At 49.5% G+C, this 26532-nt stretch overlaps 1 protein-coding gene across 1 annotated transcript, besides 5 other annotated features; it reads left to right on the top strand.

Moving 5' to 3' along the window:
- Window positions 16883-17012: an enhancer, noted in NCBI's record as "active region_6293". NCBI's record gives its function as "activates an Ori minimal core promoter by ATAC-STARR-seq in GM12878 lymphoblastoid cells {active_cell/tissue: GM12878}" and the evidence as "EXISTENCE:reporter gene assay evidence [ECO:0000049][PMID:35858748]".
- On the top strand, window positions 17206-25931 carry RND1 (Rho family GTPase 1). The gene is made up of 5 exons (NM_014470.4): window positions 17206-17428; window positions 18206-18293; window positions 20958-21067; window positions 21945-22079; window positions 24835-25931. Exons 1-5 carry the CDS (start codon window positions 17309-17311, stop codon window positions 25078-25080), a joined length of 699 nt encoding a protein of 232 aa, NP_055285.1. The 5' UTR covers window positions 17206-17308; the 3' UTR covers window positions 25081-25931.
- Window positions 17273-17392: an enhancer, noted in NCBI's record as "active region_6292". NCBI's record gives its function as "activates an Ori minimal core promoter by ATAC-STARR-seq in GM12878 lymphoblastoid cells {active_cell/tissue: GM12878}" and the evidence as "EXISTENCE:reporter gene assay evidence [ECO:0000049][PMID:35858748]".
- Window positions 23176-23470: an enhancer, noted in NCBI's record as "tiled region #11040; HepG2 Activating DNase matched - State 8:EnhW". NCBI's record gives its function as "activates a minimal TATA promoter and a strong SV40 promoter by Sharpr-MPRA in HepG2 cells {active_cell/tissue: HepG2}" and the evidence as "EXISTENCE:reporter gene assay evidence [ECO:0000049][PMID:27701403]".
- Window positions 23176-23470: a silencer, noted in NCBI's record as "tiled region #11040; K562 Repressive non-DNase unmatched - State 22:ReprW". NCBI's record gives its function as "represses a minimal TATA promoter and a strong SV40 promoter by Sharpr-MPRA in K562 cells {active_cell/tissue: K562}" and the evidence as "EXISTENCE:reporter gene assay evidence [ECO:0000049][PMID:27701403]".
- Window positions 25478-25547: an enhancer, noted in NCBI's record as "active region_6291". NCBI's record gives its function as "activates an Ori minimal core promoter by ATAC-STARR-seq in GM12878 lymphoblastoid cells {active_cell/tissue: GM12878}" and the evidence as "EXISTENCE:reporter gene assay evidence [ECO:0000049][PMID:35858748]".
- Window positions 25932-26532: the final 601 nt, after the last annotated feature.

Below are 26532 nucleotides of genomic sequence, written 5' to 3'. Positions count from 1 at the left end.
CGTGGAATGGGCTTCAGGGCTCTTTGAACTCCCTGAAATTGAATGTAATATGTATAAATTCATTATAAGGCTTTTTCCTAGGTACTGGGTACATAGCTTTCATTAGATCCCCAGGAAAGGGCTCTGTGATCTCAGAAAGGTTCCTAGCACTGCCATTTGCTGGCTGTGAGACCTCAGTCAAATTGTTTAACCTCTCTGTGTCTCTGTGTCTTCATCTATAAAGTGGGGATGATACTACTTCACAAGACTGTTGGCATCTTAGTAAGAGGTTGTTAAGACAGTTATGATTACTCTGAGAGTGGGCTAAATAGAGGGTCCTCGCCTTATCCATCCTATACCCACCTTCCCTGAAGGTAACAGGTCTGCCCTCTCAATAGGGGGCATTCACCTCCTCCTGGCTCCTTCTCTTATTCCCTCTCTGCTCCACCTCAGGCTGCTGGAAAGTGCTCCAGACGCTGATGGGAAGCAGTCGCTCTCCAGAGACTCGTCATGGGGTGGAATTTCCGAGCTCAGGTCACTGAGTTATCCCAGTTCCTGAAATTCTTGTCTCAGATTTCTCAGCCGTCGCCGTGACCACTTTTCCCCATTTCTGGTTAGGTTAGTTTGTGTGTGTGTTTCCTTTTCACTGTATTTTTAGCCTTTGGAAAAAATAAACACATTTCACACGCTAGCACCTTCCTGATCTTTCGGTTCTCCGCAGGCATGGGGGTGGGGCCACTTCTTCCCCTGACCTTTCTTCAACCCTGTCTCCTGTTCCCAGACTCCCACCCCCCAGCACACATCCTTACCTTCTGTTGAGAATTCCCAGACTTATCCCACCCTCCTCCCATCTCTCTGTCTCTCCTGTCCCCTCAGTACTGAGTATATTCCCACCCAGGCTGGACTGATATATGCAGATTGTGACACAATTCTGAGTCTCTGGGTTCCTTATCCTTTTCATCTTGTTTCCCTTCTAGAAATCCCTCCTCCTTTCCCACTGTGACATTTTCCCCTTGTTTCAGAAAAGGCAAGTCTATCCCTGCGGTTCTGGCTTGTCCCACTGCAGTAGCACCCTGATTCAAACGAGCTGTGAAGTTGTTGCCAGAAAAACGGGTCCTCATCCAAACCCCAAGAAAGGATTCTTGGATCTCGTGCAGGAAGGAATTCAAGGCAAGCCATAGGGCGCAGTGAGAAGAGATAGTTGATTGAAAGCTACTCAGTTACAGAGTAAGGGCATCCTTAGAAAGCAATAAGAGGAGGAATGTGCCGACTCTTCTTTTTTTTTTTTTTTTTTTTGAGACTGAGTTTCACTCTTGTCACCCAGGCTGAGTGCAGTGGCATGATCTCTGCTCACTGCAACCTCCGCCTCCCGGGTTCAAGTGATTCTCCTGCCTCAACCTCCCACGTAGCTGGGATTACAAGTGTGCACCATCACGCCCAGCTAATTCTTTTTGTATTTTTAGTAGAGATGGGGTTTCACCATGTTGGCCAGGCTGGTCTCGAATCCCTGACCTCAAGTGATCCGCCTGCCTCAGCCTCCCAAAGTGCTGGGATTACAGGCATGAGGCATCATGCCCAGCCAGCTCTTCTTATATATGGGCCTTATCTATGTAAAAACTAAGCTATGTCTACATATGGGTGGGCTGATAGCATGGCAAATTGTGTTATTCTGTTGATTTAAAGAAAACTATCCTTATTATTGTTACTTTTTTAGGGCATAAGTACATAAAAGCATAACCATGACTATCTTACAAGCATAATTGTTATCCAGTCTCAGCGTATCTAGACATTCTGTTGTGATAGAGTTTGTCCTTGCAGGCATTATTAAGCTGCTTCCTTAGCCATAAACATCTTATGACCATGGGTTGTGACTGGCAAGGAATGTGCCTTGCTAGTTTTATTTTTATTTATTTATTTATTGAGACAGGGTCTCGTTCTGTCACCCAGGCTGGAGTGCAGTAAGTGGCATGATTTCAGCACACTGCAGCCTCCACTTCCTGGGTTCAACTGATTCTCCTGCCTCAGCTTCCCAAGTAGCTGGGATTACAGGTGCCTGCCACCACGCCCTGCTCATATTTGTATTTTTGTAGAGACGAGGTTTCACCGTGTTGGCCAGGTTGGTCTCTAACCTCTGACCTCATGTGATCTGCCCCACTGGACTTCCTAAGGTGCTGGGATTACAGGCGTGAGCCACCGCGACCGGTCCATGCCTGGCTAGTTTTAATATGGAGTTGATTTTAAAATGGTGTCACCCTGGTTCTCCTATGCTGTTTCCCTAACAGAGTCAGATGAACCTAGAACCCTGTACCCCACCAATTATGTTTAGGTTTCATCATTAATACAATAGTATTATATTTAGTAGAGTTGCAGAAAGGTTTATATGAGATCATGCAAGGAGGGCACTGTAGGGGCCACGAGAAACTTTTCCCTTCTTCCTCTAAGGGTTCGCTGAAAACTCAAATCACAAAAGGCAGATTAATTGGAGGAAAAGCATACAAATGTATTTAACACATGTACATGAGGAGAATCACGGTGACTGCCCACTCCCTGGTGGGATTCAGGAGCTTGTATCCCATCCTGGCAAAACAGAGGATGGGAGGCAGGAGAAGAGGAATTCTGTTGAGGAGATTTCTAGGGAGAAGGAATACATCTGGGGAACAGAAACTATCCTGTGCATTATCTTGCAAGAGGGTCTGTTCAGGTGTGGTTACTTAGGTTCCTGTTCTTACAGAGAGGGGAAGAAAAAACAGTTGTTCCTTTTGGTGGGTCTGGATCTTAGGCAGATAAAGGAAGCTCACTTTGGGAGACGGTGGGTGGGGAGAGGGTCAGAGAGACCTGGCGGCTTCTTCAGTTGAGCGTGACAAAACACTGTTTTTTGGGATATTGGTTTCTGAGCCCCAACAGCACTTAGCACAGAGCCTTCCAGGTGCCAAAGACCTCAGGAATGGAGCCATTGATTCCCTGGATCTGAGAGGTCTAAGGGACACAGGGTTATTTCTCAGCTCTCTTGCTCAATTCAGTTCAAACCCCAGCCAAAGGGGTTTGAAGTTGGACTTGGTGTTGTCAGTGTCAGAAGACACAGGTGATACAGGGAGGTGGCAAAGGAGAGATGTGGGAAAGGACTGAGAATTAGATTTGTGAGGGCAAGAGAGGGATTTTTTGCCTGGGCGCAGTGGCTCACACCTGTAATCCCAGCACTTTGGGAGGCCGAGGCGGGAGGATCACCTGAAGTCAGGAGTTCAAGACCAGCCTGGACAACATGGTGAAACCCCATCTCTACTAAAAATACAAAAATTAGCTGGGCATGGTGGCGAACACCTGTAATTCCAGCTACTTGGGAGGCTGAGGGAGGAGAATCACTTGAACCTGAGCCGAGATTGTACCGCTGCACTTCAGCCTGGGCAACAAGAGTGAAACTCCGTCTCAAAAAAAAAAAAAGAAAGAAAGAAAAAAAAAAAGGATTTTAATTATTCCACCTGGAGAAAGCTGGAAGAGGAAAAAATATTTTTTATTTTTTTGGAGATGGAGTTTCACTCTTGTCTCCCAGGCTGGGGTGCAATGGCGCAATCTTGGCTCTCTGCAACCTCCACCTCCCCAGTTCAAGTGATTCTCCTGTCTCAGCCTCCCAAGTAGCTGGGATTACAGGCACCTGCCACCACGTCTGGCTAATTTTTGTATTTTTAGTAGAGAGTAGAGACGGGGTTTCACCATGTTGGCCAGGCTGGTTTTCAACTCCTACCCTCAGGTGATCCACTCACCTCAGCCTCCCAAAGTGCTGAGATTACAAGCATGAGCCACCAAGCCCAGCAGATTTTTTTTCAAGACAGGGTCTCACTCTGTCACCCAGGCTGGAGTACAATGGTGCCATCACAGCTCACTGCACCCTCAACCTCCTGGGCTCAAGCGATCCCCCTGCCTCAGCCTCCTGAGTAACTGGGACCACAGGTGCTCACCACCATGCCCGGCTAATTATTTTATTTTTTGTAGAGACAAGGTCTCCCTATGTTGTCCAGGCTGGTCACAAACTCCTGGGCTCGAGCCATCCACCCGCCTCTGCCTCCCAAAGTGTTGGAATTAAGAATCTTGGCCAAGCCACCACTCCTGGCCAAGATTCTTGATGATAACAGAGTTTAGGGCTCTCTGTGGCAATTCTGTTTTCTCTCTTTCAGGGAAGAGAAAGTGTTGAGGTAGGGGAGACTGAGGCTGGCTGTCAGAACTTTCCAGCTGTGGATAGAACCCTGGCACAGAAAATCCTAAGTGCTTGTGAGAAAACTGAGGCTCCCAGAGGTTGTGGCTTATCTAAGGTCACAGGTTAGTTAAGTGCTGAACCCTGGACTCAGACCTCAGCTTTGAGCCTTCCAACCGGCAAACTGTATTCAGAGGCCAGCAGCCCACAGGGTCAGGTAGGATGGAAGCCAATAGGAGATTCCAAGTTTGTTTAGCATTCCTAATCCCCAGGAAAGCTTTCCAGAGATGTGCTGGAAAGAGCATGAGTTAATGCAATGAATATACCCCCATTAAGACATAAGAAAGCTAACGCTGGGTGCTGTGGTTCACGCCTGTAATCCCAGCACTCTGGGTGGCTGAGGTGGGCAGATCACTTGAGGTCAGGAGTTCAAGGCTAGTCTGGCCAACATGGCAAAACCCCATCTCTACTAAAAATACAAAAATTAACCGGGCGTGGTAGCACACACCTGTAGTCCCAGCTACTTGGGACCCTGAAACACAAGAATTGCTCGAACCTGGAAGGTGGAGGTTGCAGTGAGCTGAGATCGTGCCACTGCACTCCAGCCTGGGCAACAGAGTGAGTGAGACTCCATCTCAAAAAGAAAAGAAAAGAAAAGAAAAAAAGAAAAAAGACATAAGAAAGCACAGTGAGGGCCGGGCGTGGTGGCTCACGCCTATAATCCCAGCACTTTGGGAGGCCAAGGTGGGTGGATCACGAGGTCAGGAATTCGAGACCAGCCTGGCCAACTTGGTGAAACCCCATTTCTACTAAAGATACAAAAAATTAGCCGAGTGTGGTGGCGTGAGCCTGTAATCTCAGCTACTCGGGAGGCCAAGGCAGGAGAATAGCTTGAACCCAGGAGACGGAGGTTGCAGTCAGCCGAGATCGCACCATTGCACTCCAGCCTGGGCAACAGGGTGAGACTCTGTCTCAAAAAAAAAAGCACAGTCTGAGGTTGAGTGATTTACTCAAAGTCATACAAAGACATATAAGTAGTAACTGGCAGGGCCAGGATTTAAACCCAGGCATTGTGGCCTGAGCCTGCATTCTCCACCTGTGCTGCCTCTGCAAGTGTTGTAGTCAGGTTTTGAATCTGATCTGGCTGACTCCGGAGCCAGAATGCATCATGATGTTTGGTACCACCTCTTCCACCCTCAGAGGACCAAGCATTGAATGACACGATGCAGGCAGAGCATTTAGCACACGGGAAGTACATCAACACGGTTGTCTTCCTGATGTCTGGCTGGCCCCAGTTCTGCCTTTCCATTCTTTGTTTTGTGCCTGGGTTTATATCCTTGGCCTTCAGCAGCCTGGAAGCAAGGCCCCATCTCAGTATCTGGCTTCAGTTGATTGCTTGGCCATCTCTGTCCCACCCACTGGCCCAACGCTGGGTTTCTGGAGCACATCCTCTGGTGCTTCTTGGAAAACTGGGTTGATAGAGCTGGAGGGGTCTTGGGGAGTGGCTCCGACCTCACACTGTATAGAGGAGAATGCCGAGGCCCAAAGAGAGCAAGAGTCTTGACTAGGCCCATTCCCACAGTCTACTAATAATACCGAGTACCTGCTGTTCCCAGGCACTGTTCTAGGTATGATACCAAAGTGAGAAGGTCACTGCACCTACAGAGTCCACCTTATCATAGTGAGGGAGAAAGACGATCAACAAAAAAATAGGTCAACAAAAACCATAAACTAGAAAAATATCAGAGTGATAAAGGCCATACTGAGAACATGAAAGAGAAGGATCAGGTGGCTACTTCAGGCTAGCTGACTTCTCTGGACAGGAGACACTTAACCTGAGATGTAAAGGATGAAAAGGTGCCAATGCGGGCAGTCAGGGGGAAGGGCATTGTTGGTAGAGGGAACAGCCAGTGAAAAGGCCCTGAGTATAAGTTTGGTGTGTGAGCACAGTGGATAGTGAAATCAATGTAGTGAGTCCTGACAAGCATTCAAAAAATGAAGTAGCCAGGCACAGTGGCTCACACCTGTAATCCCAGCACTTTGGGAGGCCGAGGCGGGCAGATCACAAGGTCAGGAGATCGAGACCATCCTAGCCAACATGGTGAAACCCCGTCTCTACTAAAAATAAAAAATTTAGCTGGGCGTGGTGGTGCACTCCTATAGTCCCAGCTACTTGGGAGGCTGAGGCAGGAGAATCACTTGAACCCGGGAGGCGGAGGTTGCAGTGAGCCACTGCACTCCAGCCTGGTGACAGAATGAGACTCCATCTTAAAAAAAAAAAAAAAGAAAAAGAAAAAGAAGTAGAAAAGAAAATATCAGAATGCATTGTAAAGGTTAATGTTTGAGGAAACTTTAGGAGACATATACATATATGCATGCAGAGATATATATAGTGTGATATATATTGATATATCTATATCTCTAAATATAGCATGAGTGTATGTTTTGGACTGTGATATAACATGTATTTCTGACTGTGACTTGTGAATAGAAAAGTTTTAAAGCCATTATTGGAGGAATTTTAAAAAGTTCAATATAGCTGGAGAGAGGAGAACTGCAGGAGATGAGGTCAGCCAGGGGGCAAGCATAAGTCATGTATGGCTCTAGGAACCAGGATAAGAAGTTGGATTTTATTCAAAATGGACTTGATGGCTGGGCTCGGTGGCTCACGCCTGTAATCCCAGCACTTTTGGTGGCTGAGGTGGGCAGATTGCTTGAGCCCAGGAGTTCAAGATCAGTCTGGGCAACATAGGGAGACCCCTGTCTCTACAAAAAATAGATAAAAAAATTAGCCAGTCATGGTGGCTCATGCCTTTAGTCCCAGCTACTCAGAAGGCTGAGATAGGCAGATTGATTGAACCCAGGAGGTTGAGGCTTCGGTGAGCCATGATCGTACCACTGCACTCAAGCCTGGATGGCAGAGTGAGACCCTGACTCAATTGAAAAAAAAAAAAAAGCCAGGCAAAGTGGTTTAGGCCTGTAATCCCAGCACTTTGGGAGGCCAAGGTGGGAGATCCCTTGAGCCCAGGAGTTTGAGACTAGCCTAGGAAACATAGCAAAACCCCATCTGTACAAAAAATACAAAAATTAGCCAGGTGTGCTGGTGCATGCCTGTGGTCCCAGCTGCTTGGGAAGCTGAGGTGGGAGGATTGTTTGAGCTCGGGAGGTGGAGGCTGCACCTCCCGAGGTGCAGATGGAGGTGAGCCGTAATCAAGCCACTGCACTCCAGCCTAGGTGACAGAGTGAGACTGTCTCAAAAAAAAAGTGGACTTGATGCCACAGGAAGACTTTAAGCAGAGGATGAACGTTATCTATGTAGTTTCTTGTGCTTTGTTTGTTTGTTTGTTTGAGACAGAGTCTTGCGCTGACGCCCCAGGTACAAGTGATTCTCCTGCCTCAGCCTCCGGAGTAGCTGGGATAATAGGCACGTGCCACCATGCCCAGCTAATTTTTTATTTTTAATAGGGGTTTAGCTGGGATTACAGGCATGAGCCACCTCGCCCAGCCTCTTGTGTTTGTTTTTAACCTAGCCATTTAGAAATAGAGAAACTAAATCTCCTTATAGCCATTTTCCTACCATAGCTGGTTTACCTCACTTTTGCAGGCGAGAAATCCAGGGATGGGCAGGGGAGGGTTAGACTTATGTCCACCTTTGCCAGATCAAGAAAGACCTCCCAGAGGGGCCCAGGAGAGTAGATGCAAGAGCATCCCCAGGGAGGCTGTCACAGGGGGTGAGAAGGAGGAGGATCAAAAGAGGGTAAAACAGGCCGAGCACCGTGGCTCACGCTTGTAATCCCAGCACTTTGGGAGGCCAAGGCAGGCAGATCACCTGAGGTCAGGAGTTCAAAACCAGTCTGGCCAACGTGGTGAAAACCCATCTCTACTAAAAATACAAAAATTAGCTGGGTGTGGTGGCACCTGCCTGTAATCCCAGCTACTGGGGAGGCTGAGACAGGAGAATCGCTTGAACCCAGGAGGTGGAGGTTGCAGTGAGCCAAGATTGTGCCATTGCACTCCAGCCTGGGCGACAGAGCGAGACTGTCTGAAGGAAAAAAAAAAAAAAAAAGAGGGTAAAACAGGCTGAGGGAATTGCTGCTACCTAGGAGGATGAGGAGGTGGGAACTGAAGAGGAAGTAGGCCTGGCTCAGGGTCCACATCATTTCCCAACTCACTCCGGTGCTCCTGAGGTCCTTTCCTGCCTCGGAATTACTCTCTCCCATTCACCCAGCAAGTGTTCACCTTAGTCTTGGCCAAGCCCTGGGGTAGTGGCAAGAGAAGGCAGGAAGGCCTGCATGTGTGGTCTCCAGTCTCCTGACCCCAAGTGTGGCTACTCTGAACTCCCTTCAGCTGCCCTCTGCTCCTCTCTGTGCTTCCATTCCCTACCCCCAACTCAGCCAGAACGAGATGGAACACAGGCTTCTTCACCATCACTATCTTCACCACCTTCTTCTGTTTTTTTTTTTTTGTTGTTGTTGTTGTTTAATTTAATTTTATTTTTTGAGACAGGGTCTTGCTCTGTCACCCAGGTTGGAGTGCAGTGGCTCCATCACAGCTCACTGCAGCCTTGACCTCCTGGGCCCAAGTGATCCTCCCACCTCAGCCTCCTGAGTAGCTGGGACTACAGGTGCGTGCACCACTGTGCCCGGCTAGTTTTTCATTTTTTAATTTTGTAGAGATGGGTCTTACCAGGTTGATCAGGCTGGTTTCCAACTCCTGGGCTCAAGCAATCCTCCTGCCTTGGCCTCCAAAAGTGTTGGGATTACAGGCGTGAGCCACTGTACCTGGCCCCTTCCTCTATTTTCACTCTGGCCCCATCCTCGGCCACCTCCATACCTTCCTCCTAATTTTTTTTTAGTTTGAGAAGGCTCCAGTCTTCCCTCCTCATTCTTCTTCTTCTTTTCTTCTTCTTCTTCTTTTTTTTTTTTGGGACAGTCTCACTCTGTCGCCCAGTCTGGAGTGCAGTGGTGCAATCTCAGCTCACTGCAAACTCTGCCTCCTGGGTTCAAGGGATTCATTCTCCTGCCTCAGCCTCCCGAGCAGCTGGGATTACAGGCACACACACCATGCCCGGCTAATTTTTGTATTTTTAGTAGAGACAGGGTTTTTCCATGTTGGCCAGGCTGGTCTTAAACTCCTGACCTCAGGTGATCCGCCCACCCCAGCCTCGCAAAGTGCTGGGAATACAGGCGTGAGCCACCGCGCCCAGCCTCCCTCCTCATTCTTAGTCCAGCTCAGGTGGCTTGTTTTGTTTTGTTTTTTCTCCTCCTATTCACACATGCATACACACACATGCACTGGTCCTCTTCCGCAGGCCTCCTTCTCCTGCTTCCAAGCCATCCCATTCTCCTAGAACACTCCCTCTGGCCCACCTCTCAGCATCCTATTCTTGCTTTGCCTCATAGCTCAGTGCTACTTTTTCCAGAAAGTTTTACTGGAAAATTCTCCTTCTTTTTGTTTTTCCTTTAGCTCTCTCACCACTTATGTAACAATGCTCAGCTCCCAGGAAGAGGAGCAGAAGAGGAGCTGAGAAGGAGAAAGCAGCTCCCGGCAGCCAGGAACTTGCCTGGCAGTCTTAGCAATGCTTTGGTTTTCTCGTAAGCATTTCACAGAATACCAACATTAGGCAAGGCAATGCTGTGACCGACCTCGAGAGATCCAGACAGAAATAAGATCTCTCAGTAATCATATCTGAACAAAGAGAGAAACAAGAACATTGTCCAAACCACAAGAATAACCAACCATCCATGCATCCAAGCTAACATAAGCCAATGCTACTTCTTTACCAATCACACTTAGCCTTGCTTCATTCCTCCCACCTTGCACAGGACAGAAGATTTATTGATACTCCACTTTCTTTTTCTTTTCTTTTCTTTTCTTTTTTCTTTTTTTTTTTTTTGAGATGGAGTCTCACTCTGTTACCCAGGCTACAGTGCAGTGGCACGATCTCAGCTTATTGCAGCCTCTGCCTCCTGGATACGTCACTTTCTGACCAGCATCCAATCCTGAGAAAAGCCTCACTTCCTTGACCTCTTCCCCAAATCACCAAATGTAAGCTCAGATCCTAAGTCCTTTCTAACACTCATTTATTGGATGTGCCACAGTTCCACCATGGCATGTGTTCTTATTGAAATTAGTCTGCCAGGCACAATGGCTCCCACCTCTAATCACAGCACTTTGGGAGGCTGAGGCGGGAGGACCACTTGAGCCCCAGGGTTCAAGGCTGTAGTAAGCTATGATCTCGCCACTGCATCACTCTAGGCTGGGAGACGAATTGAGACCCAGTTTTTGTTTTGTTTTTTGTTTTTTTTGAGATGGAGTCTCGCTCTGTCACCCAGGCTAGAGTGCAATGGCATGATTTTGGCTCACTGCAACCTCTGCCTCCCAGGTTCAAGTGATTCTCCTGCCTCAGCCTCCCGAGTAGCTGGGATTACAGGCAATTGTCACCACGCCTGGCTAATTTTTTGTTTTTAGTGGAGACGGGGTTTCACCATGTTGATCAGGCTGGTCTCCAACTCCTGACCTCAGGTGATCTGCCTGCCTCGGCCTCCCAAAGTGCTGGGATTACAGATGTGAGCCACCGCGCCCAGGCTTTGAAGTGCTTTTACAGATATTTTAGCCGGTCACGGTGGCTTATGCCTGTAATCCCAGTACTTTGGGAGGCCAAGGCGGGTGGATCACCTGAGGTCGGGAGTTTGAGACCAGCCTGACCAACAAGGAGAAACCCCGTCTCTACTAAAAATACAAAATTAGCCAGGCGTGGTGACAACTGCCTGTAATCCCAGCTACTCGGGAGGCTGAGGCAGGAGAATCACTTGAACCCGGGAGGCAAAGGTTGCAGTGAGCTGAGATCATGCCATTCCACTCCAGCCTGGGCAACAAAAGTGAAACTCCGTCTCAAAAAAAAAATTAGCAGATTTTTCTTTCTTTCTTTTTTCTTTTTGAGAGGGAGTCTCACTCTATTGCCCAGGCTGGAGTGCAGTGGCATGATCTTGGCTCACTGCAACCTCTGCCTCTTGGCTTCAAGTGATTCTCCTGCTTCAGCCTTCCAGTAGCTGAGACTACAGGCATGCGCCACTACGCCCGGCTAATTTTTGTATTTTAGTAGAGACGGGTTTCACCATGTTGGCCAGGCTGGTCTTGAACTCCTAACCTCAAGTAATCCACCTGCCTCTGCCCCCCAAAGTGCTGGGATTATAGGCGTGAGCCACTGCTCCTGGCCGGCTTCTTTCTTATCTCCCTGCTTAGCTGTAAACTCCCCCAAGGCAGGACTGTGTCTTAGAGTGCTCAGTCAAAAGATCAGCAGTCAAAAGGTCAGGTGTTCCCAGGTGCCAGGGACCAGAGACCCCTGAGATCCCAAGTTATTGCTTAGGACTGAGGAGTGGAGCACCTGCGTCATATGAAGGGAAGGGGATAATGGGCCTTGTTCTGGGAGATGCAGGTGGCAGCGTGCCTGGGGGTTCTTTGCAAAGAATCCCTAGGGCAGAGAAAATATGGGGCTTGTGTACTGTCTAGTACAAGTCAGCATGAATTTTAATTTGTTACAACCCTGAACATCTTTGTATATTATGCCACTGTCCCAGATAGGGAACTTATCAGAGTAATCAGAACCAAAAAAGATAGGGCAGCCCTGAACTTTGAGCATGTGGTATACACACACATATTTGTGCTAGAGGGTATTATCCAGACCAGTAGTTTTATTTTATTTTATTTTATTTTATTTTACTTTTAAAATTTTATTTTGAGACAGGGTCTCACTCAGTTGCCCAGGCTGGAGTGAGGTGACATGATCACAGCTCACTGCAGCCTCAACCTCCCCAGGCTCAAGCAATCCTCCCTCCTTAGCCTTCGGAGTAGCTGGGACCACCGGCACAGGCCACCACGCCCAGCTAATTTTTGTATTTTTTGTAGATACAGAGTTTCACCATGTTGCCCAGGCTGGTCTTGAACTTCTGAGCTCCAGCGATCTGCCTGCCTTGGCCTCCCAAAGTGTTGGATTACAGGCATGAACCACTGTGCCTACCCTAAATTCACCAGTTTGAACTATACAATTCGATGGTTTTCAGTCACTCCCCATTTCCTCCTCAACCCCACAGACCCAGGCAACTATTAGCCTACTTTCTGTCTTTTCGGATTTGCCTATTCTGGACATTTCATATAAATGGACATAGTCTATATGGTCTTTTGTGGTTGGCTTCTTCCACCTTGGCATAATGTTTTCAACTATAACCTTGTTTTAAATTTTTCTGATCTTGATAGGGAAGAGCCACCTTTCCTTTTTTCGTTTGTTTGCTTGTTTGTTTGTTTGTTTTTTTGAGACAGCATCTCCCTCGGTCGCCCAGGCTTGAGTGCAGTGGCGCAATTTCAGCTCACTGCAACCTCTGCCTCCCGAGGTTCAAGCTATTCTCCTGCCTCACCCTCCTGAGTAGCTGGGATTACAGGCACCCGCCACCAGCCTGGCTAATTTTTGTATTTTTAGTAGAGATGAGGTTTCACCATGTTGGCCAGGCTGGTCTCGAACTCCTGACCTCAAATGATCCACCCACCTTGGCCTCCCAAAGTGCTGGGATTATAGGTGTGAGCCACTGCGCCTGGCCCGGAAGAGCCACTTTAATGTATTAATCTGGCTACAGACTTTTATTTGATTTTTAAAGTTTTTTTGTAGAGATGGGGTCTCACTCTATTGCCTAAGCTGGTTTTGAACTCCTGGGCTCAAGTGATCCTCCCACCTCAGCCTCCCCAAATCCTGGGATTATAGGTGTGAGCCACAACACCTGGTCTTGGCTATGGAGTTTGAAATAAAGTTATTTAAAAGAGGTTTAAACAAATTTGGAGGAGAGAATCTAAGTGCTAAAATAATAATAATAATAATAACATCTAGGCCAACCACGCTGGCTCACGCCTGTTATCCCAGCATTTTGGGAGGCCAAGGTGGGTGGATCACCTGAGGTCACGAGTTCCAGACCAGCCTGACCAACATGGAGAAACCCCGTCTCTACTAAAAATACAAAAATTAGCTGGGTGTGATGGCACATGCCTGTAATCCCAGCTACTTGGGAGGCCGAGACAGGAGAATCGATTGAACCCGGGAGGGCGAGGTTGAGGTGAGCCAAGATCGTGCCATTGCACTCCAGCCTGGGCAACAAAAGCAAAACTCTATCTCAAAAAAATAAATAAATAAATAAACTAAATAACATCTAAAAACTTCTTCTCTAGTTAAATCCCTCACATTGCATTTAAGGAAATAGGCACCCAGAGAGGGAAGTAACTTACCCAAAGGCACACAGCTTGTTAAAGGCAGAGCGAGGTCCAAGGCCTAGACCTGCTGAACTTCAGTTCCATCCTTTTCCTGTTACCTCCCTGCCCACTGATCTAACACACACGCTTTCACACACATAACACCCTTTCCACCAAAACTCATAAACATATGACCCACAAAATATCCTTGGAGACACATCTTGGGCCTCAGCCATGGTGGAGGCTGCTCTGTATAATGGCTCGGGCCTTCTGCTACTTGACCCTGAAATGCAGCCACCCAGGGAAGAATCAGTGTTGGCACCAGCTCTCAGAATTTCTGTCTTGGAGGAGCTCAGGAATGGCAATGTTCTTAGAAGCCAGAAGAAGCTGTTTGCTTAGCAGGAACAATTTTTACTTATTCTGAAAGTTTATTTGGAGTGGTGGATGAATGGTGTGTGTAGGGGGAGGCTGGTAGAGAACATGGAGAGAAGGCTAACACCTGTGGGGTTGTGATTGGAGGGAACTCAGTTAAGGGTTAGGAGGATGTATGGGGGACTGGGTACGGTGGCTCATGCCTGTAATCCCAGCACTTTGGGAGGCCGAGGCAGGCGGATCACAAGGTCAAGAATTTGAGACCAGCCTGGCCAACATGGGGAAACGTCGTCTCTACTAAGAATACAAAAATTAGCTGGGCATCGTGGCACGTGCCTGTAATCCCAGCTACTCAGGAGGCTGAGGCAGGAGAATCGCTTGAACCCGGGAGACGGAGGTTGCAGTCAGCGGAGATTGTGCCACTGCACTCCAGCCTGAGCAACAGAGCAAGACTCTGTCTCGGAAAAAAAAAAAAAAAAAAAGAGGATGCATAGGAACTCTACTGATGCTTCCAGAACTAAGCCCAGATGAGACTGAAGGTAGGGGACAGGAGGATACAGAAGGAGAAGGTCAGGCTGAGGGAAAGGACTCCAGATTGAGGCAGTCTATGATCTTACAGCTGTTCCTGGAACTATCCCAAACCCCACTTATAGACAGCTCACAGAGGCTGTCAGGCTGCTGGAAAAGGGCAAGAAGAGGACAAATTCTATCCACAGAACATTATCTGAGGGTGGAGGATGAGGGGAGATAAAGGGCAGAAACCTTCAGAAAGCCTGGGAGAGACGGCAGCCAGCTAATGGTAACATCTGGCCTTTCCACCCTGAAGTTTCCCTCAGGCCATTCCCCATCCCTGGAAGTGAATGGAGCTTAGGACATGGGTGGAGAGCAGGTATAGGCCTTGGCCCCAGAGCCACGACGAGGTTTGACTGGAGGAACACTGGTTAGGCTGTATTCTCAAAACAACATCCACTCTCCTACTGCCTGTGGTGGGCACTAGAAATCTCATTCTTAGAGATCTGTCCCTTTGGGTCTGTGAAAGGCTTTCAAGCATCCTTTATCACAGGGAAACTATCCCTGGGTGGGGCAGCAACAACTGTGAATTAAGAGTAAAGCTCAGGCTGGGGCACAGTGGCTCACGCCTGTAACCCCAGCACTTTGGGAGGCCGAGGCAGGTGGATCACCTAAGGTTAGGAGTTTATGACCAGCCTGGCCAACATGGCGAAACCCCATCTCTACTCAAAATACAAAAATTAGCTGGGTGTGGTGGCAGGCACCTGTAATCCCAGCTACTCGGGAGGCTGAGGTAGGAGAATCGATTGAACCCGGCGGGCACAGTTTGCAGTGAGCCGAGATTGTGGCACTGCATTCCAGCCTGGGTGAAAGAGCAAGACTCTGTATAAAAAAAAAAAAAAAGTAAAGCTCAGATGAAACAAGGCCCAGGAGACACTGGGCTTGACAAGGGAAAGGGACTACTCTCAATTTTGCCCAAAGTTGGTCTTCCTTCAATCACAAATCTCCAGGAGCCCTTATTTGTACGGTCTTGATTCCTGGACAATCAGTGGTTTATTTAAGCTGTGGACAGCCCATAGTTCTGTCTAGTAGAGGCTCCCCAAAATACAGGGGCCCCATCAGTCAGGGCTGTTAAGAAGTTATGAAGCTCGGCTGGGCGCGGTGGCTCACGCCTGTAATCCCAGCACTTTGGGAGGCCGATGTGGGTGGATCACTTAAGGTCAGGAGTTTGAGACCAGCCTGACCAATATGGTGAAACCCTGTCTCTACTGAAAATACAAAAATTAGCCAGGCATGGTGACGTGCGCCTGTAGTCTCAGCTACTCGGGAGGCTGAGACAGGAGAATTGCTTGAACCCGGGAGGCAGAGGTTGCAGTGAACTGAGATCAAGCCACTGCACTCCAGCCCGGGTAACAGAGCGAGACTCCATCTCAAAAAAAAAAAAAAAAAAAATTTATGTAGTTCATCTCAACCTTAGATTGTCCTCCAGCTTCTAATCCCAAAATCCTGGGCCCAGTCTGGACTTTAACCAGGTGACACACATTAGTGCGTCAGTTTCAGTGGGCGTTAACATGGAACTGGACCTGTGCCTGATTCATCCAGGAAGCTGAGCCTAGGCCGCAGAACAAACACCCCTAAGCAGCTTCTGCTAGGCATGGGTGAGAGGCTGTCTGGCCAAACAGTGACTGTGTTTGCTTTGTCTTCTTCCTCTCTCCCACCCCCACTTGCCAGAGTCCCTCATTTCTCTCTGCCCATCACTGGGTCAGGTGCTGTGTGTTTTTTTTATGGATGACTCTAGAAAGTTTTCTCTTTCTCTTTCTCTCTCTCTGTCTTTGGTGGTGAAGGTGATTCTTGAAGAAGAGAAGGCTTTAAAAGGGGCACAGGCCGGGCACGGTGGCTGACGCCTATAATCCCAGCACTTTGGGAGGCCAAGGCGGGCGGATCGCCTGAGGTCGGGAGTTCGAGACCAGCCTGACCAACATGGAGAAACCCCGTCTCTACTAAAAATACAACATTAGCTGGGCATGGTGGTGCATGCCTGTAATCCCAGCTACTCGGGAGGCTGAGGCAGGAGAATCGCTTGAATCCGGGAGATGGAGGTTGCAGTGAGCTGAGATCGTGCCATTGCACTCCAGCCTGGGCAACAAGAGCGAAACTCCATCTCAAAATAAATAAATAAATAAATAAATAAATAAATAAATAAATAAATAAATAAATAAAAGAGGTACAGCAGGAGCTGATATTGGGAGGGGAAATAAAGGGAAGTAAGAACTGGTTTGGATGGGAATTAGAAAAAACAAAAAAGTCAGACATCAGGCCAGGCGCTGTGGCTCATGTCTGTAGTCCCAGCACTTTGGGAGGCTGAGACAGGCGGATTGCTTGAGCCCAGAAGTTCAAGACCAGCCTGGATAACATGGTGAGACCCCTGTCTCTATTTAAAACAAAAGATGTAAGGAAAAAAAAGAAAAAAAATGTCAGAGAAGTTCTGGGCCACCTCCCCCATCCCCTACTCCTCCAAAACACACACACACACACACACCTGTCTATAGTCTAAGCAGGTCCTGCTTTTGTAACCCACCCGGGACAGTCCCTGCAACTCCAGCCTGACCTCACTTCCTGCTTCCATAGCTAGTTTGTTTTTCTGACACTTATTGGTAGACACTCCAGATCATTTCATTTTGCTTCCAGTACCCTTTCCACTTCCTAATACAAATGCAAAACAACCTGGGAATCCCCTTTCAGGGGGAAACAACGGTGCAGCTTTAAGAGAAAGAGAAGGGAGGAAGGGGGCGCTGACTCAGATCCTCAGATCCATTGGCTGCTGGAGGGAATCCCACCTCAGGGATTGGGCGTAACAGAGTCCGCCTCCTCTTGTGATTGGCTCAGCCAGAAAAATAAAAGGCGGCTGTGCCGGCCTCCTCCTCAGTTGGAGGGAGGCAGGGAATCTGGCTTGATTGGCGTGCTGAGACGCACCTGGCGCAACCCTCCCTTCTGAATCGAAGTTCAAGTCCCGCGGACACTGCAACCATGAAGGAGAGACGGGCCCCCCAGCCAGTCGTGGCCAGATGTAAGCTCGTTCTGGTCGGGGACGTGCAGTGTGGGAAGACCGCGATGTTGCAAGTGTTAGCGAAGGATTGCTATCCAGAGGTGAGCTGCCCGCCCGCCCGCTGGCCGGCTTTTCTCCCTGCCTGCCCGCCTTGGGGTAGATTTCCACCTGCTCAGGAGACGTGGCTCCCCCAGCCCCAGCCCATCCTCAGCCGCTTTCTGAGGCTTTACCATCCTCAGCTGCTTTTTGGCTGGAGGACTGCCCTGCCTTAGCTTCCCCTGAGACCTGTTCCACTTCTGCCGCCCCGCTGGCTCCTCCTCACCTCTTCACCCAGAGGACCCATCAGATCCCCTCCACCTTCCTGCGTCCCTGGAGTCTGCTCTCAGGTGAGGGCACTGGAGGCATTTGAAAGTCTGGGGTTTCTTCTTGACGTAATCCCTGCCTATCCGCTCACCTGCTCCTCAAAGGCTCTATGCCTGTGCCTTCAGGCAGGCTTCTGCAGCCCCTCTGTTCACCTGGCCGGGAGGGGTTTGAGAGGAGATGAGCTAGGATTGGCTTTGGCCTGTGGCTCTCTCAAATTGGGAAACACAAATCTGGGGATGGGAGGAATCTGTGTGTGTGTGTGTCCCTGATCGCCTAGGATATGGGGGGCTTACCCCTGGTGTGGTGGTGTGGGGGGGTGTCATTCACATTTCTCACTGCTGCAGAGCAAAGTGCCTGGTCCTCCACAGTCCCTTCCCTCCTGCCCCAGGCATCTCCTCTGGTTTCTTGTCTCCTGTGACTTTACTGTCTCTCTGGTGAGTGCGTGTGTAGCCAGCACTAACCAGGGGATCTGAGGGTAGGGGTGCATGGGGTGAATGTTTCCTCTCTTTTCACAGACCTATGTGCCCACCGTGTTCGAAAATTACACAGCCTGTTTGGAGACAGAGGAACAGAGGGTGGAGCTTAGTCTCTGGGATACCTCAGGTAAGAATTCTGCTCCAAATACCCCTTTCCCACCCCTACTGGTCTGCTGTGTAGCTGCTGTCTTTTAGAAATTGTTTTCCCCTTTGGTGGGGAGAAGTGAAAAAAGAGGATCTGAAGACTCATTAGTTGTGGGGAGGGCTGACAGTTGGTGGACTCAGTTGCATGGTCCAAGGGTGCAGAGTGGGTGAACCCCAGGAGCCACTCTCTTCCCTGGGTCTGGTTCCACCCTTTAGAGGGCTGGGATGGTGAGGTGAAGGGACCCATGAATAGTCCTGGGGGTGGGCAGTAAAACAGGACTTCTCCATTTCCATTCCCTACCACCCAACATGCACGCGTACACACATGCACACACACGCGCGCGCGCGCACACACACACACACACACACACACACACACACCTTTTACTTCCCCAGAGCAAAGCCAAATAAGAGGCAAGAGGCAGTGCTGCTGGAGGCAGCGTGGTTGGGGCGGAGAGACAAGTCTGCTTTGGGGAAAGGTTGCTCAGACTCAGTTTTGTCTCCTGCATTCCATCTTGGGCCACTGCTGTCCTCCTGCCGCAGCTCAGCCCCACTCGTCACACCGCTGCAGCTCGGGGATGAAGCAATGCATCATCGATGTTTTGGAAGTTGGGGGAGATGGCTTAATATAGGGCATAGTCAGTTGTGAATAGTGGCCGGCAGGGCAGAGGGGAGGTTGGCTCTGACTGTTTTCCCTCTACTGGGGTGAGGTAGAATATGCCCTGTCTCTCTAGAATGTAGAAACAATGTTTTTCCAGCCTCTCAGCCCCAAGCCCTTAGTGCTAGGCTATCCTTTGCCTTGATTCTGACCCCTTCCCATTATCTCTTTACCCCAGACCTTTTTCAATAGACTGGCTCAGAGTCATAATTAAGGAGTAAAAGCCGGGAATAAGAGAAAGAAAATAAAATCCACCCCTCCCCAAAAATGCATATTCAGGCTGAGTTTAAAAAGGGACCGTAAATCACTAGGTGTTTCCTGCTACATATAATAAATATGCTGTCCTGCTCCTTCAACAGCTGTTGTTCCCATGCTCTAATTCTGAGGTCTGAAAAGATTGGGGCTAGGGAATGGTTAGACAGACAATGAGCCTTTCCTCCCCAAACAAAAATTCCCCAATCTGGTATGCTTTTCCCTGTTGCAGTTTCAGGGCTTGGGAGGCAGCGTTCTGGTTCTCCTGGGCTGTGCTATGCTGGCAAGATTGGGCTAGAATGCAGCTTGATGGCATGATGTATAATTTTTGGTTTTTCATCTGCTGTACCCTCCCACCTTCCAATCTTCCCAGAATCTTACTGCAGCTCATCTCTTTTCACTACCACCGCCCAAACGCCCTCCCCCCACCTCCTCCCTCCTTTGACAGTCAGAATGCAGCCCTCAAATCCCAAACCAGATCATGGAAAATCAGCAAGTGTAGTCTCTGTTCCCTGTGTCACACCCCCACCCCCAATTTCCGAAAGGATAAAGGCTGTCAGTTATTCTCAAACTCCCTCTTTCAGATTAGGTTCCCATAAGGAAGGAGGAAGTGGCCATGGTGTGTGGGATAGGGTTTCCCAATGTTGGGCTCAGGGTTGACCCTGTTCCCATTATTTACTTGCTAGTCTTAGGGGAGGGGGATTGCTTGGAGCCAAAATGGAGGCCTCCTCCCCTCCCCCTTCCCCAGTGCTGCAGTGCTTCCGCTCCTCAGTGCTGCAGTGGTAAGACCCCACCTCAGAAAGGGATGGAGGAGGCTTGCTGAAGGAGCAGGCAGCTATCCCAACTCCCCTGTATTCCTTTTTTTAATGACCAACATCCCCCCACCAGCTTGGATTCCCCCCAGTTTCCATGGCGATTGTGGTGCAGGGAGAGGGGCTGCTTGCTATTCTGAGCACGGATTGTCTGGGTTCCAAATCCGCTACTGCTCCTTCCCCAGGGTGGAGGGGGCAGGCTCAGCTCCTAGCATTCTCCCATATGGGACCACCTGGGTCTGCATTGCCTATTTCCCTTCCAACGAAGGACTCTTGCTCTAGCCTCTAAATCCCCAGCCATCGGTGCTGCTGTCTTTGAGACTGCCTTCCTGAGATGTGGGGCGGTCAGGAGGTACAGCTTTCCTTTTGCCCTTTTCAGTGTAAGCCGATCTGGGTGGGTGGAGAAGTGGGGCACTGAACCCTTGATTCTCTCCCTCCCCTGCTAGCCTCCTAAAGTTCTGACCCCATGGAAAAGCAGCAGGCAGGTTATGTAACAAGGAGGTTTTTCTCTTCACTGGGGAGACCCTGGAGCAGAAGGGAGTGAAGTTGGGCAGCAGGCAGGCTCTAGAAGAGAGAAGCCCTGAAATAAGTGCTGTCTCTCTGCAGGGCTGGAAGCATCTTCTGGGACTCAGAAAACTAGTAGATCTCCAATTAAGCCTGCTGTAGGAGACCCAAACAGGGCCAAATTATACTCCACCCACTTTATTTTGTCTTCTTTCCCTTTTTCTGGACTAAGGGGGATGATATTCTTTCATGACCTTCTGGCAGACAGTCAGGTCCCAAGCTTCCAGCCGCAGTACATTCCCCCTGGGAGATGGGTGGATCCTCAGGGATTGAGGATGGTATTCCCAGGGCTTTAGGGCTTAGGCCTATTGGGGAAGGAAAACACCATGGCTCACCATCAGCTCTTTCTGGCCTACACCAGGATCTCCCTACTACGATAATGTCCGTCCACTCTGCTACAGCGACTCGGATGCAGTATTACTATGTTTTGACATCAGCCGTCCAGAGACAGTGGACAGCGCACTCAAGAAGGTAAGACTAGATCAACTCTCTAATCTCTAACTCAGCATGAGGACCAAGAAGGAATCGGGACCTTGTCATGAATGCCCTCTTGTATAACATCAAGAAATGGAAGCCAGGGAAGGAAGAGATTTGCCCAAGGCCACACCATTAGCTACAGCTCTGGGACTGGAACTTGGGTCTCCTTACCCCACTGCCTCCCGCCCTTTTTGTTATCCCATGCTGCCTTGCCAGAGGCCCCGCAAGGGAGGGTGGTATTGAAGACTCAGGAAGCAGAGGACGGAGAGTCAGAGAACCTTTAGGTGATACGGTATGAGGGTCAGGCATGGGACCTTTTGGAGGCAGCTTCTATAGACCCTGATCCCAGTCCCACTGAGAATGGGCAAGCCAGGCAGGTCTGAGCTGAGCTGCTGGTATGAAATGCTTAGGTCTGGGCAGATCCACCAATGCTGAGGAGTCCTAGGAAACCTTGTGTATCTAGCATAGTATAGAAGATGCTGGGATCATGTTCTTCCCTTGAGAAGAGACTGGTTGGCTTCCCCCTGGCATTCTGGACTTGTGAGGCCCTTTGGGGTGAGGGGGCAGATCCATGCCTATATGGTTGGCAGAGAGTGGGAGGAGAATTGCCCTTGTGCCCTCTCTGGTGACTGAGCCATAGACTGGGGGAACAGGCTCCTGGGTCAGCACTCTGGGGGCCCCAAAGGCCTCATGGGCAGGAAAATGATGTAATTAGTGCAACGGTGATGCTGTGACTCAGAGGGAGGACTGGGCTGGTGATGAGTGAGGTGATGTGTGTGACGTTGCCAGCCAAGCTTCTCCTGGTATCTGTCTGCCACTAACTCTCCTTCCTTCCTCCTTCTCCTACCCTTCTTCCTGCTCCACCCCTCAGTGGAGGACAGAAATCCTAGATTATTGTCCCAGCACCCGCGTTTTGCTCATTGGCTGCAAGACAGACCTGCGAACAGACCTGAGTACTCTGATGGAGCTGTCCCACCAGAAGCAGGCGCCCATCTCCTATGAGCAGGTGTGTGCGCATGCAAGTGCATGTCGTGGGGTGGAGTGAGGAAGGCTAGAGGCAGACAGCTTGAAATATGGCCCTGGCTCAAATTCTTCCACTATGGCAAGAGAGAATTGCTGTTATAATTAGCAAATGAGTCACCTGGAGAGAGGTGGTGGGCACCTGCTTACCCAGATGTATGCTGTCAGTTAGCAGGTGAGTTATTCCTGTGTGTGCCCACATTTCTAAGATTGTATTCTGACCACCTGCGTTAGAATCATTAGAGGTGTTTGTTAGAATTTCACACACACAAAAAAAAGAGGCCAGGTGCAAGGTGGCTCATGCCTGTAATTCCAGAACTTTGGGAGGCTGAGGCAGGAGGATAGCTTGAGCCCAGGAGTTTGAGATAAGCCTGGGCAACAAAGCAAGACTGTCTCTACCAAAAAAAAAAAAAAAAAAAAAAAAATAGCTGGGTGTGGTGGTGAGTGCCTGTAGTCACAGCTACTCAGGATGCTGAGGTGGGAGGACCGCTGCTTGAGCCCAGGAGGTTGAGGCTGCAAGGAGCTGTGATCATGCCACTGCACTCCAGCCTGAGTGACAGAGTGAGACCCTGTCTCAAAAAAAAAGAAAAGGAGGAGGGGCACTGGGTGCGGTGGCTCACGCCTGTAATCCCAGCACTTGAGAGGCCAAGGCCGATGGATCACTTGAGCTCAGGAATTCAGGACTAGCCTGGCCAACATGGCAAAACGCTGTCTCTACTAAAAATACCAAAAGTAGCTGGGTGTGGTGGCATGCACCCGTAATCCCAGCTACTCAGGAGGCTGAGGCAGGAGAATCGCTTGAACCTGGGAGATGGAGGTTGCAGTTAGCTGAGATTGTGCCACTGCACTCCCACCTGGGCGACAGAGTGAGAGACTCTGTCTCAAGGAAAAAAAAAAAAAAAAAAGGCCAGGTGTGGTGGCTCATGCCTGTAATCCCAGCACTTTGGGAGACGGAGGCAGGTGGATCACTTCAGGTCAGGAGTTCAAGACCAGCCTGGCCAACGTGGTGAAACCCCGTCTCTACAAAAAATACAAAAAATTAGCCAGGTATGGTGGTGCACACCTGTAATCCCTGGGCAACAGAGTGAGACTCTATTTCAAGAAAAAAAAGTGTGATCTGCCTAGGTTGGAGTGCAGTGGCACAATAGTTGTTTATGCAGCCTTGACCTCCCGGACTCAAGTGATCCTCCCTCCTGTCTCCCTAGTAGCTGGGACTATAGGTATGGGCCCCACGCCTAGCTAATCTTTTAACATTTTTTGTAGAGACAAGGTCTCAGTATGTTTCCGGGGTTGTTCTTGAACTCCTGACATCAAGTGATTCTCCTACCTTGGCCTCCCAAAGTGCTGGGATTACAGTTGTGAGTCACCACACCTGGCCTGGAATCTGCATTTTTTATAAGACCCCTGGATAATTTCTTATGTGCATGAGAGCATAGGGTTGGGGGACTGAGTTTCGCTCTTGTCACCCAGGCTGGAGTGCAGTGGTGCGATCTCAGCTCACTGCAACCTCTGCCTCCCGGGTTCAAGAGATTCTCCTGCCTCAGCCTCCTGCGTAGCTGGGATTACAGGTGCCTGCCAACACGCCCAGCTAATTTTTGTTATTTTTAGTAGAGATGGGGTTTCACCATGTTGGCCAGGCTGGTCTTGAACTCCTGACCTCAGGTGATCCACCTGCCTTGGCCTCCACTGCACCTGACCTGGGGAGCTCTTAAGAATACTAATACCGGCCAGGCGCGGTGGCTCACGCCTGTAATCCCAGCACTTTGGGAGGCTGAGGCGGGCAGATCACAAGGTCAGGAGATCAAGACCATCCTGGCTAACATGGTGAAACACCATCTCTACTAAAAATACAAAAAATTAGCCAGGCGTGTTGGCGGGTGCCTGTAGTCCCAGCTACTCGGGAGGCTGAGGCAGGAGAATGGTGTGAACCCGGGAGGCAGAGCTTGCAGTGAGCCGAGATCGCGCCACTGCACTCCAGCCTGGGCAACAGAGCGAGACTGTTTCAAAAAAAAAAAAAAAAGAAAAGAAAGAAAAAGAAGAATACTAATGCCTTGGCTCTATACCCAGAATTTTTTTTTCCTTTTCCTTTTTTTTTTTTTTTTTTTTCCAGAGACAGGGTCTTACTCTGTCACCCAGAATGAAGTGCAGTGGTGTGATCCTAGCTCACTACAGTGCAGAACTCCTGGGCTCAAGGGATCCTCTCTAGTATTTGAGACTATAGTTGTGTGCCCACTTCCAGTGAATTTTTAAACATTTTTTAAAAGTGTTTATTATTATTTTATTATCTTTATTTTTGAGATTTATTTTTGTAATTCCAAAGCGCTGGGATTATGGGTGTAAGCCACCGCGCCCGGCCACCTAGGCTGGTCTTGAACTCCTGGCCTCCTCAAGTGATCCTCCCATCACAGCCTCCTGAGTAGCTGGGATTAGAGGCACTAGCCACTGCCCCAGCTATCCCCAGAAATTCTAATTTAGTTTGGCATCAATATAGTTTTAAGAGTATTCCAGATGATTTATAATGTGCAGTCAGGCATCGTCTTAAGAAAAAGAGGCATCATCAGACAGGGTGTATGCCAAAAAAAAAAAAAAAAAAGAAAAGATAATCGAATAATCTGCAGAGGGTGGTGTTTGGAGACTGGCAGCTGGGTCCCCTCTGGAGTGGCCCTGGGGAGTGACGCACAGAGGCAGCGTCCCAGAGCCATTTTGGCCCACTGCATTAATGCCCTCACCCCCTCCTGCAGGGTTGTGCAATAGCAAAGCAGCTGGGTGCAGAAATCTACCTGGAAGGCTCAGCTTTCACCTCAGAAAAGAGCATCCACAGCATCTTTCGGACGGCATCCATGCTGTGTCTGAACAAGCCTAGCCCACTGCCCCAGAAGAGCCCTGTCCGAAGCCTCTCCAAACGACTGCTCCACCTCCCCAGTCGCTCTGAACTCATCTCTTCTACCTTCAAGAAGGAAAAGGCCAAAAGCTGTTCCATTATGTGAAGTGGAAATTGGAGGGGGGAGACAACCCCCTACTTCCTCCCTTGGGGTGCAGAGGCACGGGGAGAGGGAGGATGAGACAATTTAGGACACTGGACATGAGTTTTTCAGATGGCCACGGTGAGGGCTTGGAAGGAGACAGGAATGGGGCGAGGAAGGAGCCAGGCCCGGCATGAGGACCTGACGCTGAGAGAGAACCATCATACCCCAAGCCAGGCACTAGATTTTGGAGGGGGCGACTACCCCAGTGCCCCCCCCGCTCCAGAGGAAGGAAAGCTGTGGGGGACGGGGGGCATGCTGGCCTCATGGGCTTGGGGGCCTACAGCAGCCTCACCTTCAGCTTCATGCCTCTTCCACACAGCGTTTCCATGCAGGTCAGGGGATGGGAGGGGTCCCTGAGCCCTTCCCTTCCCCTCTAAGGAGGCAGCAACGGAGAGTGGGGAAGTGGAGCGGCAGCTCCCTTGGGGGCTTAGCCCAGGTGCTTCGTAACTGCAATCGGAAGTGCAGGAGCTGGTCAGAGCCAATGAGAAGGAAACCTCATCTTTGCATAGCCCATGCCTCATGGAGAGGTGACATCATACATTCACATGCTTCTCACCTAAGTCCCCAGGGTCCAAGGGAGAAGCCCCAGACCCCCTTCTCTTGCAGAGTGTGGGGGTGGTGGTGCTGCAGGGGCAGGGCTGGGTGGGGGTCACCAGACTTTTTCTGCCCTTAGGGTAGTACAGCTGGCATTTGTTTTATAGACTCTTGTCTTTGGAATTGGGGGGAGGGGGGGAGTGTTTCAATCTGTTATATGTTCTGTGTTTAATGAAGAAAACCTATTTATTAATGAAAAATATAATACATATAAAGAATTTGGCTCCGTATTTTTTTCTGTTTTCTTTAGTTGTTACAATTGGTATTTTTTTTTTTTGGTCTTTTTTTTTTTTCCTTTTTGTGGAGAACAGGGTCTCGCTATATTGCTCAGGCAGGTCTCAAACTCCTGGGCTCAAGCTATCCTCACATCTCTGCCTCCCTAAGAGCTGGGATTACAGGCATGAGCCACCGTGCTTGAGCCCTTTGGTTGATGATAATGAGAGAAAAGCTGTCCTGGGACCCTTTCTGTGGGTTGCAGAGGGGCTGCCTCCACCATTCCCCAGCTCCTCCAAGAAGGAGCTTCTCTCTTCCCCCATCCCCCTGCCCTAGCCCCACCCAAGACCTACTAAACCAAGGAAGGGCTCCTTAGCCCGAGAGCAGGGGTGCAGGGGTTCTCAACCCTGGAACTATTGACATTTTGGACTGGATAATGCTTTGTTGTGAGGGACTGTCCTATGCAGCCCAAGATGTTTAGCAGTGTCCCTGATCTGGTGGATGCTAGAAGACAGCACCCCACTCTCCAGCTATCACACCCAAAAATGTCTCCAGACGTTGCTAAATGGCCCCTGTGGAAAAATTCTGGTTGAGAACCACTGCCCT

This window comes from Homo sapiens, chromosome 12, assembly GCF_000001405.40.
Source record: "Homo sapiens chromosome 12, GRCh38.p14 Primary Assembly".
Taxonomy (NCBI): Eukaryota; Metazoa; Chordata; class Mammalia; order Primates; family Hominidae; genus Homo; species Homo sapiens.
Note: the sequence above shows the minus strand (reverse complement) of the source record. Positions and strands in the feature narration are given on the sequence as shown.

Coding starts and splice junctions, on each gene's coding strand:
- RND1 (NM_014470.4), top strand. CDS start 17,309: ATGAAGGAGAGACGGGCCCCCCAGCCAGTCGTGGCCAGATGTAAGCTC. Junction 17,429..18,205: donor CGAAGGATTGCTATCCAGAG/GTGAGCTGCCCG, acceptor CTCTTTTCACAG/ACCTATGTGCCCACCGTGTT. Junction 22,080..24,834: donor CGCCCATCTCCTATGAGCAG/GTGTGTGCGCAT, acceptor CCCCTCCTGCAG/GGTTGTGCAATAGCAAAGCA.